Here is a 14,760-nt window from a genome sequence, read left to right on the forward strand (position 1 = left end):
TGCAAACACAGCCTAAGTCAAATTATATCATTTCTATCTTCAGAAACTTTCCCCGGTGTCCCTTCTCACTTAAAAGCCAAGTCTGCACAATGAACTATAAGGCCCCATATGATATGGCCTCTGTTTACCTCTCTGGTCTTATCACTGCCTCACTTGCTGACTCTACTCCAGCCAAAAAGACTTCTTTGTTGTTCTCAGACATGATTGGTACACTCCTGCTTTACTGCCTTTGAACTTATTCCCACTGCTTAGAGCCATCTGCATGTTTCACTCCTTTACTTCCTTTAAGTATTGGTTCAATTATCTCCTGAGCAAGGCTTTTGCTTCATTTTTGAAATTACAACCGTACCTGCAAACACATCACTACACTTACACACACATATGTGCACGGAATCACTATTTCTTCTTCATGTCATATATACAAATATATATATATACACACACACATATGACATGTATATATATGTGTATATATGTATATATATATGACATGAAGAAGAAATAGTGATTCCATGCGCGTGTGTATAAATGTAGTGTATACATATATACATAGTCACCAATTATAATAAACATGTCCATGAATTTCCCATGAACAGTTCGCACTAGTGTGCCCTGGCATAACTATAGTATGTAGTGCTATGGAAATATAACAACACAGATATTGTAAGAACTTATATTCATAGAATTTGATGTGTTAAAAAAGGTAATATGGCTCAGGGTAAGGAGAATATGATGAAACATTAATTTGGGTAAGATTAATGTGAAATTACCTCTGAAAACTATCTGCAATGCTGTTACACTGGTCAAAATTTTATTATCTTCCATTCTTTGTTAATTATAAAAAGTTAAATAAAAATAATTGTATCACAATTTTTCATTTCTTTCATACCAGTGACCTGGTAATAAACGTTAATGTAATTTTCACCAGAGGAGAAAAATAATAGAAAATGCATCCATCATTTACAAATGTAAGCACTAGTAATATAAGTATAATAATAAATATCTTGTACAATTTTTTGAAAATATAAAATTCAAATGGAGAAAACTCAATATTGACTTGACATTTTATTTTAATAAAAATAAAGTCGTTAAAAACATAATTGTATATAAAATAACTATATATTTATAAAAATACCTTTGTTTCTTTGGAGCTCATTTTTCAAATCTTCAATAATACAAGTATTCTTTTCCATTTCTTTTGTATATTGTTCTACTTGTTCGGTGAGCATCTTAATTTGACTGTCTCGTTCCTGTATACCCTATAAAATATTTTAAAACAATATATATCCCTTCATGAATATTAACCTAAAAAGGTAAGGAAAAAAGTACGTCTGATTTTTTTCAACAAGACTGTAGAACATATTTTCTTGTGGGTACAAGTATGCCTTTTACCATTTTGTACACTTCAACTGTAATACACAATGATAGGTACACTGCTGTTACTCCAATACTGAAAGATGGATATAATGGCTAACACTCTGGAAAATAGGATTTCCAGAACTCCCTAATGTTTATGGCTTCTATACTTCCTTATATGTTACTTTCCTCATCCTCCATTCAATTCCACCTTTTTACCATTTTGTATGTTTCTGTTTTGCTCTGTGCTTTCTCTTTTATTCAACTTAGCTTTTTCCCCTTTCGTACTTTATTAAAAAATGTTGTCCCCTGTAATTGTTCTTATTCAGCATACACTTTTCAAATCATCTTCTTACTTGTGGACTATAACTACAGCACAAATAATAAAAGTATTACTTCCTTTTATTTGGGTTATTTTCACTAAAAATAAAATAGGTAGCACAGTCAAATTATAACCATGCTTTTAGCTTATTTCACATTGTATAGGGTATGTTAGGACTAAGATACAGTAAAATAAACCTTAAAAGAGTATAAAATTATTTTAAATTTCTAAAAGTTTTTAATCATTTCTTGTTAAATAATTTCTAACCAAAACAATGTGTGTACTATCCACATAAACATAGAAAAATAAACACAGTAACTCTAGTTCTAAGTCTAATCCGTGATCTAAACTTAATTCTAATTTTTTATTGGGACCAGGTGGTAGAAGAAATTTCAAAAGACATTATTATACACTTGGTAGTACCAGCCGCTACACTAGGCACTGATGATATAATAAATAAAAGACATCGTTCAGAGTTCCAACTGTAATAAAACTGGTTGATAAACAAAATTCTGTTAAGATTTTACCTGCTGTAGAGCCATAACATTACTTTTATCAGCATCAAGCTGAGCATTCTTAAGTTTCTCCCTTAGGTTATGTAACATTTGCTGATACTCAATAATTTCATCATCTTTAGAAGACAAAATTAGCTAGAAATAAACACAATAGAATCTGTTATGCAAAAGGAAAGTTAATAAAACATTCTTCATTATCATAAATAATAAACACCGTTAGTAGATTTATGATACAGAAAATAAAAATTATTTGAAATGAGAAAGTATGAGCAACTACTGGCATAATCTCTGTTCCTTTTGTATATACAACCTGAAATTCAAATAGAAAATGATTTTAAAATATATACCGAATTTTCTTTTTTTATAATTCAATCTTTAAAAATATTTCAACCTTTCAAAACTCATTTATAAACAAGAAGTACTTCCATACAACTGTGAAAAGTTTTATACAATTGATCTTTATGAAGTATGCATTAAAATGCAACCAAGAGGCATAAAATATCTTGAATGAATGAAAGAAAAGGTATCTTGTGTTCTTTAGCTAGAAGGACCAAATAACATAAAAAGGTTTATCCTAAATCAATCTATAAAACAATTTATAACTTTAACACATACCCAATAAAAATCCACAAGATATTTTTTAAGAACTGGACAAGCCAGTTCTATAATTCACATTAAAAATATTCATAAAGAAGTCTAAAAGCAGAAAAATAATAACGTTTTTAGATATTAAAACATACACAAATTAAAACAAGTATACACTGCTAGAAAATAGATCAATCAATTCAATAAAAGATGAAATAATCAATAAAAGATGTTTGGACAACAGAGTAGCTCTGTTGAATCCACATGATACTCCTTACATCAAAATGAATTATATGTTTCGAAGATTTAAATGTAAAAAAAGGCCAGGCAGAGTCACACCTGTAATTCCAGCACTTTGGGAGGCCCAGGCAGGAGGATCACTTGAGGCCAGGGGTTCAAGACCAGCCTGGCCAACACAGTGTGACCCCATGTCTACTAAAACTACAAAAATTAGCTGCGCATGGCGGCACATGCCTGTAATCCCAGCTACTCAGGAGGCTGAGGCACAAGAACCACCTGAACCCAGGAGGTGGCATTTGCAGTGAGCTGAGATTGTACCATTGCACTCCAGCCTAAGCAACTGAGTGAGACTCTGTCTCAAAAACAAAAACAAAAACAAAAACAAAACAAGATATTAGGAGAAAAGATGAGAAAACAAGTTTATACTCAGAAGCCTTTCTCATTATAACAAATGTCAAAAGTCATTAAAAAATAATAAATTTAACTAAGCATAAAAAGAAATATTTCACAGCAAAAAATGCCATAAAGCAAAAAAAGTGACAAACTGTTAGAATGTATTTGCAACATACATGACAATTACAACACTTGCAGCAATTTATTCCACAGATATACTTGTACATTTGCAAAATAACATATATAAGGATATTCATTAAAACAGTTTACAACCCCAAAATTGGAAACTTCATAAACTTCACAAATTATCAAATTAACACCTGTATAAAAAGAAAAATTACATAGCCTTTAAAAAGAACAGCAATACTATACGTACTGATATAAAATAATTATGAAATGGTATTAAGTCAAAACAAAGTACAGAATACATATAACATGTCACCATTTACCCTGCCAACATTCAATCTGGTAAAGACAACTGTTTTTTCCAGGGGTTGGTAGACTATGGCCCAAAGGTCAAATCTGGCCTCCCATCTGCTTTTGTAAATAAAATTTTACCGGAAAACCACCTTGCTCACTCATTTACGTATTGTCAATGGCTGCTTTCATGCTATAAGCAGAGTTTAGTTATAGCAGAGACCAGGTGGTCTAAAATATTCACTGTCTGGCCCTTTATATAAAGTTTATGGAGACATGACTGATTCTATAGGCCTTATTTCCATTGCTAATGCTTTTGTTTAAAATATAGGTTATCTGAGCTCCCTAGATGCTAACCAGTTCCAAACTGCCCACAAGATTTATGTGAACCATACTAGAAAGCAATGACTCTAGAAGTGATAGTTTTTAAAATTAGAATTATTCATTCAGAATAATCTCTGATGTTTTTCAAGTATACAACCATCATAATCCCAGCTTCTAATATGGTAAGGCCTGACAATTTGGTTAAGGTTGGAGAGTGGTGGTGAGGAAGAAAAGTGTATTTTGAAAAGGCTTCCCAAGTTATTCTGATCCCTTTGCTTATTCCCATTCCCACTGATGAACCTGACATTTAGTTAGAAAAACTAAAATTAAACCTGCAACTATTTAACTAATGTATATAAGGTAACTATGAGTTAAGTAAAAAAATTTAAATTATATTTCGAATTATATATTTTAGATGCCAAATATATTTTGGAGTTAGACTTCTATCAAAAAGTTTAAAGTTAAACTCATTGATGTGAAAGAGGTCATTCAATAACAAATTAGCTAGAGATCAAAAAGGACAGTTCTAGAGCTTTTCTAACCAATAAATAAAATAAACTTATGTTTAAAAACCCTAATAAACGTGTTATAAACCAGTATAAGACATTTAAAGAAAAATAAGACTAAAATTTAAATCTAAAATACAAAAAGAAAAAGTTATTATGTCAATTGAAAAAAAATACCTTCCATTCTTCTACTTTTGCATTGACAGCTACCATAATTGGATCATCTTCTTCATTTTTTGATTTCAGAAGATCTGTAAGCTCCTGCACCTAAAAGACAAAGTTATTTCAAGAGTTGTTGCAAACTGATGTAACATATATTTACACCTGTGCATATTTACATATACATTATATATATAAATATATCTACATACACACACATACGTATTCATACTTATATACACATACATACGGATACATTACATTACATATGTGTATTTATCATTGAAGTCATCCTGGAATTATAGGTGACATTTAATAGTTTCTGCATCTTATAATTGCATAATTATCTTTCATTACTAGAAAATTTTATTTTTAAACATTATTCTACCTTTTAAACAAATTTAATCCACATAAATACTGAACAATGTATTGGTTTCTAATACATTTATAATGTATTTATTTTAAGATAAAATGAAATGTTATGATCCACAGGATTTTCAGTAGTCTTTTATAGAAAACCCCATAATGACTGCTATCTACACATTCATTCAAGTATCATTTATATATCCTAAATTGCAAAAATTAGTGTTTGTGAGGTGATTGGAGAAACACATATGGACAAATATACCAACATGACAAGATATTACACTATTAAAAAGACAGACAAAAATTCACATCCTAGAAAAAGTACTTTCTAGTGTCAAATAAATAGTAATGAGATAATATGAAGTCTGAATAAATAAGTTATTCTAAAAGTAATTCTTACTTGAAGTTGATAATGATCGTTTTCTTTTTTTAACTGATCTATTACATTATCTGTCTGATGCACAATAGCTTTCATTCTATTATATTCATCAGTCATCTTCTCCATTTCCTGTACAGACTCTTCTAAATTTTTTCTCATTTCTTGATTCTGAACTTCAATTTTCTCATTAGCTTCTGTTAAAGTCTAAAAAAGTTAAAGACACTATAATTAAAAAGTAATTTTAAAAAAACTGAAATTTAAACCAAATTAAAATTAAACGCAGCCATAAGTGTCCTCTAGAAAAAAAGAGAATTCTTTATAGACCTTTACTAATTGGCATTGACCAATTAAATCAAATTGAATCAAGAAAATAGTACATAAGGACCTCAATTGTTCTTAATGACCAAGACAGGCAAATATAAAAATGGCTAAAAAGTTGCAACTTCAAAGATGTAATTTATTTCACATTTTACAAGTACATAGTGACAGATTTATACCAGGGAATTTACATGTAGGGCTAAATATTATATTTACATTGTAATGAAATTAAAGTTTTTAGGAACCATTGCTCTGAATTGACTTCTAGCCATTTTACCTGAATTTCATCAAGATATTGGATAAGCTCATAGTTTTTTTTAGACAACTGTGATCGGTAGTCACTGTCTTCCCCTCTTCTTGATAAAAGTGTTTCTTTCTGTGAATCTATTTGTTTCTGGTAGTCAATAATATCCTGACAAAGTTGTTCATTCTGAAGGTAACCAAACACAACATTCAATTACAAAACTATTCAGAATAACAAAATCATATCCTCTAAATAGTGCTCTCACAACATATTTTAAATTCCCAAGATTTCACCACACTTAAAGCCTCACCTTTTTCTTTAGACGTTTGTTCTACAGAAAAGGACAGGAAAACGGTAATTAGAAATGAGAAAGGTAATACATAATTAAAAATAATAATCAGAAACTAAAGAAAACAAAAAAATTTTGGGAAAATGATGCATATTATCTTGAATAACCAAAGAAAGAATACTAATTATCTACCAAAACAAATAATATTTCAATTATGTTAGAAACTTAAGAACTTCTATCAGAATAAACAATGTACAAACATTATTTGGCTCAGTAGAACCAAATGATAATCAGAATTTATAAGATTCCACAAGTAACAAAAAATTTTAAAGGATTCTGGGTAAGAGAAATAAGAATAGAAATCCAGTCATCTATTCAATTAGAAAACTAGCAAAGAATGGCTTATAAAACAACAAAAAAAGATTTACCCGCATAGACCTGAGATGAATGTAATACTTAATGGCCTCACATTTTGCTTTGTTTTCTATTTCCCTGAGACAAAGTCATACCATAAAATCAGTCTGAAAACATCAGTTACTTAGAAGACTCCAGTCCTGGTTAAAATATAAATTTATGTAAACTTAGGTACTTATTTTAATAAGTACCTTTGTTGAACCACCACAACTACTAAAATTTTTTACCTCTCTTCTTAATTTGCTGTTTTCATTTTCTGCCTCCTCATTTCGAAGAGCCAACTAAAATAGTAAAAAAAAAAAATAAATAAGAAGAAGATAAAATTCAGCAGTAATTTTTTTTTTTTTTGAGACAAAGTCTTTGTCGCCTAGGCTGGAGTACAGTGGTGCGATCTCGGCTCACTGCAACCTCTGCCTCCCGGTTCAAGCAATTCTCCCACCTCAGCCTACCGAGTAGCTGGAATTACTGGCATGCATTACCATAACTGGCTAATTTTTGTATTTTTAGTAGAGACGGGGTTTCACTGTGTTAGCCAGGCTGGTCTTGAACTCCTGGCCTCAAGTGATCCATCTGCCTCAACCTCCCAAAGTGCTAGGATTTCAGACATGAGCCACTGTGCCTGGCCATCAGCAGTAATTTAATATAAAGCCAGATATTCAGCTTATCTACTTAAATTTTAAATCCTCTCTAACAAAGTAGAAAATGTTAAAGCTATTAAGGATTTAATATCAACCTAACACATAAATAATAGGCCAAAATTTTCAAAACTTAAGGATTTAAGGATTAAACAGTTTCATTTTAAAGAATTAAAAAGAACACACACACAAACTAACCAAAGAATACAGAAACAAATTAATCTGCTCCTCCAAAAAAACCCCTAATAAAATGGTTTTCTGCCCAACATCTTTATTTTACTTTTCTAAGTCATAGCTAGACTATTATTTGCTCTCAGTGAACATAAATTACTTAGAAATATAAGGCAATACAACACAATGGTTAAAAGAAGCAATCTAAAATCACACCGGCCTAGGTTTATGTCCCTCATCAACCAATTTCTAGTAAAGCATGAATGAGTTACTTAACATCTCTTTAACTCAGTTTTCTCATACATGCTGACATAAGAGTTAAACAAGAAGCATACAGAGTTCTTAGAAAAATGATCAGTGAATAGAATAGCAAAAAGTAATACAGCATTCTCTTATCTACATATAAGTGACTTTATCTGTGATTCTTGTTTCTCTGAACAGGCAAACATTATTATAAACATTATGATGCCTTTTTTCACCTATTCTCCAAACCTCATTCCTCTTATGACCTTTCATTTTTCTGGTTCTCCTCTTTATTAAAGGAGACGATAGAATCACAATGGTATACAACGATATTTAAAAAGTCTATAATAAAGAACCAAATGTAGTATGTGATCCTTGACAGAACTTTGGATATTGGAGGTGGGGAGACTGAAGGATATTATTGGGCCATTAGAAGAAATCTCATTATGGACTAGATAATGGTGTTGAATCAATATTAAAATTCCTGAGCATGACAATTATATTGTGTTCATTGTAGGAGAACATCTTTCTTTTTCAAACAGACAAGCTGAAATATTTAAGTGCAAAGTATCATATCTGCAATTAGCTCTTAAATGACTCAGCAAAAAATGTGATTGAACAAACAAGAGACAGAGAAATACATGTGTGTGTAAAAATACTGACAAAAAGATAAAGCAAAGTTGGCACAACATTAAGAACTGGTGAATCTATATGAAGGGTATGTGGGTGGTTATTGTTTTTCTTTTTCCCATCAACTTTTAAGTTCTGGGGTACATGTGTAAGATGTGCAGGTTTGTTACTTAGGTAAATGTGTACAATGGTGGCTTGCTGCACAGATCAACCCATAACCTAGATATTAAGCCCAGCATCCATTAGCTATTCTTCCTGATGTTCTCCCACCCCGACCCCTTGACGGGTCCCAGTGTGTGTTGTTCCCCACCATGTGTCCATGTGTTCTCATTGTTCAGCTCCCACTTATAAGTGAGAACATGCAGTGTTTGGTTTTCTGTTCCTGTGTGAGTTTGCTGAGGATAATGGCTTCCACCTCCATCCCATGTCCCTGCAAAGGACATGATCTTGTTCCGGTTTTTTTTTTTTTTTTTTTTTGAGACAAACTCTAGTTTTGTTGCTAAGGCTAGAGTCCAGTGGTGCGATCTCAGCTCACTGCAACCTCTGCCTTCTGGGTTCAAGTCATTCTCCTGCCTCAGCCTCCCAAGTAGCTGGGACTGCAGGCATACAGTACCATGACCAGTTAATTTTTGTTTGTTTTGTTTTGTTTTTGTAGAGATGGGGTTTCACCATACTGGCCAGGCTGGTCTTGAACTCCTGACCTCAAGTGATCTGCCTGCCTCGGCCTCCCAAAGTGCTGGGACTGTAGGCATGAGTCACCACGCTTGACCTCTCATTCTCTTTTGATGGCTGCATAGTATTCTATGATGTATATGTTCCACATTTTCATTATCCAGTCTATCATTGATGAGCATTTGGGTTGATTCCATGTCTTTGCTATTGTGAATAGTGCTGCAATGAACATATGTGTGCAAGTATCTTTATAAGAAAATGATTTATATTCTTTTGGGTATATACCCAGTAATGGGATTGCTGGGTCAAGTGGTATTTCTGCTTCTAGATCTTCGAGGAATTGCCACACTGTCTCCCACAATGGTTGAACTAATTTACATTAACACCAACAGTGTGTTTCTTACAATCTTTATGAAGATATGACATTTTTCAAAATAAAAATTTAAAGAAAGTTTATAATAAAATGCAAACTACAATACAAATTTTAGAAGTTTGCCTATCATTATTATTATCAATTGAAAGTTAATAATCCCACTGTGTTCTGAATTGGGAAATTTTTACAAGAAGAGAAGCCAAGAACTTAATGCTAAAGCATTTAATGCTATTAATGTTTTTTTCCCTTGTCTTCTCAAACATCACACTCTGTTTCTCCTTTCTTGAGCTTTTCCTTGAAGCACTCTTCCTATTTCATTGCTTTATTAGACATTTCTCAGAGACGTGCCTTACAATCACTTCTCTGGCTTCAATAATGTCTACATTGATGATTCATAAATCCTCATCATCTGTACAGGGTCTCTTGTGAATTCCATATCCACAGATACCCTTTTTGAATATGCCCAGAAGAACCTCAAACTCAACATCTACAAAACTGAAATAATCTCAAGCTTTCCAAATTCCTCTTGTGTTCCTCCTTAATGAATGGCACTATCTACCTATTTAGTGGCCCAACCCACAAAATTAGGCAGACTCTCCATCCTCCCTCTCCTCCAACAACCAATTACATTCACCACATCCAATTACATCTACTTCTCTCACACTTGTCTTTCTCAGGCAAATGCCATCATTAGCACTTCCCTGAATTAACACAAATGTTTCCTTACTAGTCTTGGCCCTTTTCAATCCACTCTCTACAAAGTACAGTAAACTTTTAAAGTATAGATCTGATCATGATATCCTGTGCTCAAAACTCTTCACTGGCTCCTTTCAGGAAAAGAACCAAATTCATTAGGAACTGGCCCTTGCTTATCTCTCCAGAGGATCATAAAAAATAAAACTGGGAAGGCAAGATAGCACAGACTCTTGAGTAAGACTGTTTTCAAATCCTACCTTTACCATTTATAAGCTGTGCAACCATGGGCAATTACTCTTTCTGTGTCTCCATTTCTTCATCTGTATCATGGCAGAAATGACAACTATCTCATATGACAAGTATCAAATAAGCAATAATGAATTAATGCATATGAAGTGCCTGGCACATAGTAAGGACTCTATGAAAGCTATTTTCACTTATATTTCAGTCAAAATGAATAACTGTAGTTTCCTAAATACTCCATAACATCTCTTACCTCTAGGTCTTAGCAAATGCTATATCTTCTACCCAGAATGTTCTTTTATTAACCACCATATATATCCTCATTCCTCTTACCAGTCTAACTATACTTCAGGTCTCAGTTTACAGATCACATCCTGCACCTCAAGGCTGATTACGGTATCTCTCTCCAGAGTATGCCAGAATATGACCTTATGTATCTCCCTAAGTATCATATTATCACTATGTTATGCTTATTATTGACTATGAATATTCTTGAGAACCAGAACATAGTTGCCCACTATATCACTAGTAACTAGCAGCCTCTGGTATGCTGTAAAGACTCAATAAAACTGAATGACTGGTTAACGGCAAAGAAGTAATTGCCAAAGCAACCCATACCCATATTTCATCTCAAGGAATTGAGCAGCCAAAAAGGAACACAGGCCATATATTCAAGTTTTCTCTGTGTGTGACTATGAAAAAAGACAATAGTCTAAGATATAAATGGACAAGGTAGTTCTGATTAGCTAAGGGTGTGTGGTATGAATGATAAGTCAACTGATACAGGTCTATATAGAAGAACAAAAGTCCAGAAAACCACAGACATCCCCCTAAGCAATTCTACCAGTGTATATTATAAGTTAGATCCTTGATGACTATTAAAAAATCCACATGTCTGCTATGTTTTGCAGTTAGCTAAACAGATAATGCTCTAAGAGCTTCTTCCTAACATTTAAGTGGCATCGATCCATACTTTCTCTACCACATTGTTTTCATAGCTAACTTCTATATGATTCTTCAACATTTTAGAGTAAAATACATACATGAAGAATGGGGATACTTTTCCTTACAAATCAATTTATGATACATTCTCTTAAATAGCATATCATTGTTTTCTTAAAATGTATGACCCTCAATTTCTGAGAGAACAATGGACAAAATAAAATAAATGGAATATAACACAACAATGACCTAAAGGACACAAAGGTGGAAAACGTTTCTGAGTATAAGGGACAGGACAGTTACCACATGTAGGCACCAAATTTTACTAAGTTTACTAACAGTTCAGGTGAAATAAAAAACAAATAAATGTTAAGTAAATAAATAAATAATACATTAAATAGGAAGCTGAGGTAAAATAGGAAATTTTCTTCCAGGAAATACAAGTTGATCTGCAAAAAACTTTTTTCCTAAAACTAAATTCAAGTGAACACTGCAAGAATTATTAGTTTATAACAAGGAATAACGAGGTAATAAAAACTATGCATTAAAAATGTTATTTTAAATATGTGATTTATAAACTGCTGACATGAACACAACTTTTCAAAAACTATACATATATATATATATCTCACATAAAATAAGGTACAACCAAAAACAAGATATTTAATTAACCATTATTGAATATATCGAAAGATTCATTTGCGAATCTACTAATCATATAAATACATTGAAATGAACAAATATAACTTTTACCCAAAATAAACTATGGCACTAGAAAGATCACTTCTTTATGAAAATCTATTAGTTACTTGATACCAATCTTCCAGACAAAAGCATTAATTTTAGGTAACAAGTTTGATGTCCTGAGAAAAATGTACTTCCAAATATAAAGAATTAATCTTCAAGTCATATTCACTAGAAGTACCATTATATTTTAAAATTGGTGATGACAAAATGAACAGTGATATAAAACCTTAGAGATAAGTGTACATCATTTTTCAAATATAACATACAATATAAAAATTGATATTGTTACCAATAATAATAAAAAGCCAGGTAACTTGAACAGTGAAGATTCATGGAAAAAAAAAGTGCTTTACTTGCTCATTAACTTTCTTCTCTTTCTCCAACTCCTTTTCCATGTCCTCCAATTCTCTATCTTTTTGTTCTAATTGTTTTTCAAGTTGGCAAATTTCATTACGTAAAAACCGAGTATCTCGTCCACCTGCAGACTGCTGAGCCATCTTAAAGTAATAAACCCAAAGTATAAATTAATCCCATTATATTTTGAGGTTCAAATGAGTCAACAACAAGCAAATAATTATGCTGAATTTAAATTTGCATTATACTTCAGTGCAGATATTTAAAATCATATTAGCTTAAGAACTTTTTTTTTTTTAATTTAACTTACTTAAGGTTAGTTCACAGCTAATAACTCCTTAAATTTTTCCTGAGCCACCCAGAGATGCAAAGAATTGACTGTTAATCATTCTGTTGTAACCACTGGGCCACAGGTAACCAGACTAAACTGCAAAGGTTCCTGAGCCTCAGGGATCTGGAACCTGAGTACAAACCATCAGAATCTCCACCCCAGTCAGTGAAGCTGAGTGCCTTAACCTGCCCTTTCTCTCATACCATGCACTGTTTAGACCAGTGCTGTCCCATAGGACTTTCTAGCATAATGGACATGCTGTCAGTGCTGTCCAGTTCAATAGCCACTCGCTACATGTAGCTATGTTCGGGCATTTGAAGTGTGGCTAGTGCAACTGAAGAACTAAATTTTTCATTTTAATTTTAACCAATGTAAATATAAATAGCTACAAGTGGTTAGTGCTAGTGCTACCATATTAAACAGCTCAGGTTTTGGTTATCTTAAGATTTGTAGCCGATTAAATCCATTTTACCTCACAGTCTTGTTAATTCAGGTCATGGCCAAGAACATCAAATCATTTGGTCATCTAATGTGTCTCACATTCATTTCTTCACCTTATAGTTCTGTTATTCCTCTACCTTAACCAAATTGTTCTTACTCTTTCTCTCCTCCAAAAAGCATTCCATTGTGCTCTCTAAAATTCTCTTCCAAGATAAATTAATATTTCACATCCTCAGATTCTTTACTGAATCCTCCTTTCCATCTCCTTGGCTTAGCTGCAATTTGGATCCTTTAGTATACTAATGCCCTTGGAACTCTTTCAATTGGAAGGTGCTCATTCTTTCAGATTCCAAATACATGAGGGTCAGAAGAAGGTGTTGGTGCTTCTAGGTTTACCCCACCCTGCAACTTCAGGTGATCATTCCTATCATTCCTCCATCATCCTATAGAAACTTCAGCTGCTTTCTCACAAAATATCCTGCTCTCCATCTTTACCTACTCATGGTAGAAACAAGCCACCAACCTTCCAGTAACTCCGCAAAATGCACTGGGAATTTAAGCATGTGGCCCACAGATGTCTATCAAATGCCCACTAAGCAATCTCCACATAACTTTTGTTCTAGTCTATTTTTTTCTTGAATTCACTATAGTCTCTCACTCCCACACCCACATCAGATCCTTGTCCAACCAGAACATTCTTTCAATTATTCCCACTATGCCTGTCCTTCGACCTCACAGGACACTCTAACCCCTCATCTTCTCCCTCCATATCCCTACCCTTCTGCCCACCCAACCCCAATCTTGATTTTATCTATTCAGTTAAGACTTCATAATCATCACTTCAACCACTTTCCTACCAATATCTTCAACTGTGCTACCCTTCTATTCTACAGCAGCTACCTAGCTAAACACTAACACAGAACTGATCCAACTCCATAATTCATTTAGTATTTATTGAAAGTGCTTGGCATTTTCCCAGGAGCTGGATATACAATCAAAAACAATAGGTCATCCAAGTTCAGAGAGTTAACGAGTAGAAGAATCAGGACTAGAACTCAAATCTGTCTGACTCCAGATCCCCAACTCTCCAGTCCTGTCTCCAATATATTTCAAATTTTACCTAATTTCCTTAAAATGTGACCACACCATTTCCCACTCTTTTTAACAGAAGATGTCATCACCAACCCCTCAACTTCCAAGCATTATGCCTACAAACATAAAAGCCTCTATACACATCCACTCTTCCCACGCTCATCCACTCATCCTCCTCTCCTAACACAAAGGAAAAGGGTATTCCTCCTTTCAAAGGCTGATCCATTTGTATCACATTCCTACCTTCTCAGGAATCTCAATGTATTTTGTTCTTCAACAATACATTCATATTTTAGCCTTCAGCTTTGTCAAAAATTACTTCTATAACACCCTTTCGTCACTATTCCTCAAATCCCCACCCAC

At 33.0% G+C, this 14,760-nt stretch overlaps 1 protein-coding gene across 21 annotated transcripts in view; it reads right to left on the minus strand.

Annotated features, from left to right (window-relative positions):
• The window catches only part of CEP290 (centrosomal protein 290), a 93,073-nt gene that overhangs the window by 75,095 nt on the left and 3,218 nt on the right, over positions 1-14,760 (minus strand). For 20 of the 21 annotated variants that reach the window (XM_047429563.1, NM_025114.4, XM_011538763.4 and 17 more), the window contains exons 6-13: positions 12,533-12,676; positions 7,055-7,108; positions 6,435-6,455; positions 6,158-6,310; positions 5,584-5,766; positions 4,836-4,925; positions 2,206-2,328; positions 1,136-1,259 (exon numbers count right to left, since the gene is read on the minus strand). In XM_047429563.1, the coding sequence (XP_047285519.1) occupies positions 1,136-1,259; positions 2,206-2,328; positions 4,836-4,925; positions 5,584-5,766; positions 6,158-6,310; positions 6,435-6,455; positions 7,055-7,108; positions 12,533-12,676 (892 nt within the window). The remainder of the gene's footprint in view (positions 1-1,135; positions 1,260-2,205; positions 2,329-4,835; positions 4,926-5,583; positions 5,767-6,157; positions 6,311-6,434; positions 6,456-7,054; positions 7,109-12,532; positions 12,677-14,760) is intronic. The other variant, XM_017019983.3, reaches the window with a different exon arrangement.

The sequence above is a fragment of the Homo sapiens genome, chromosome 12 (genome assembly GCF_000001405.40).
Source record: "Homo sapiens chromosome 12, GRCh38.p14 Primary Assembly".
NCBI classification, from domain to species: Eukaryota; Metazoa; Chordata; class Mammalia; order Primates; family Hominidae; genus Homo; species Homo sapiens.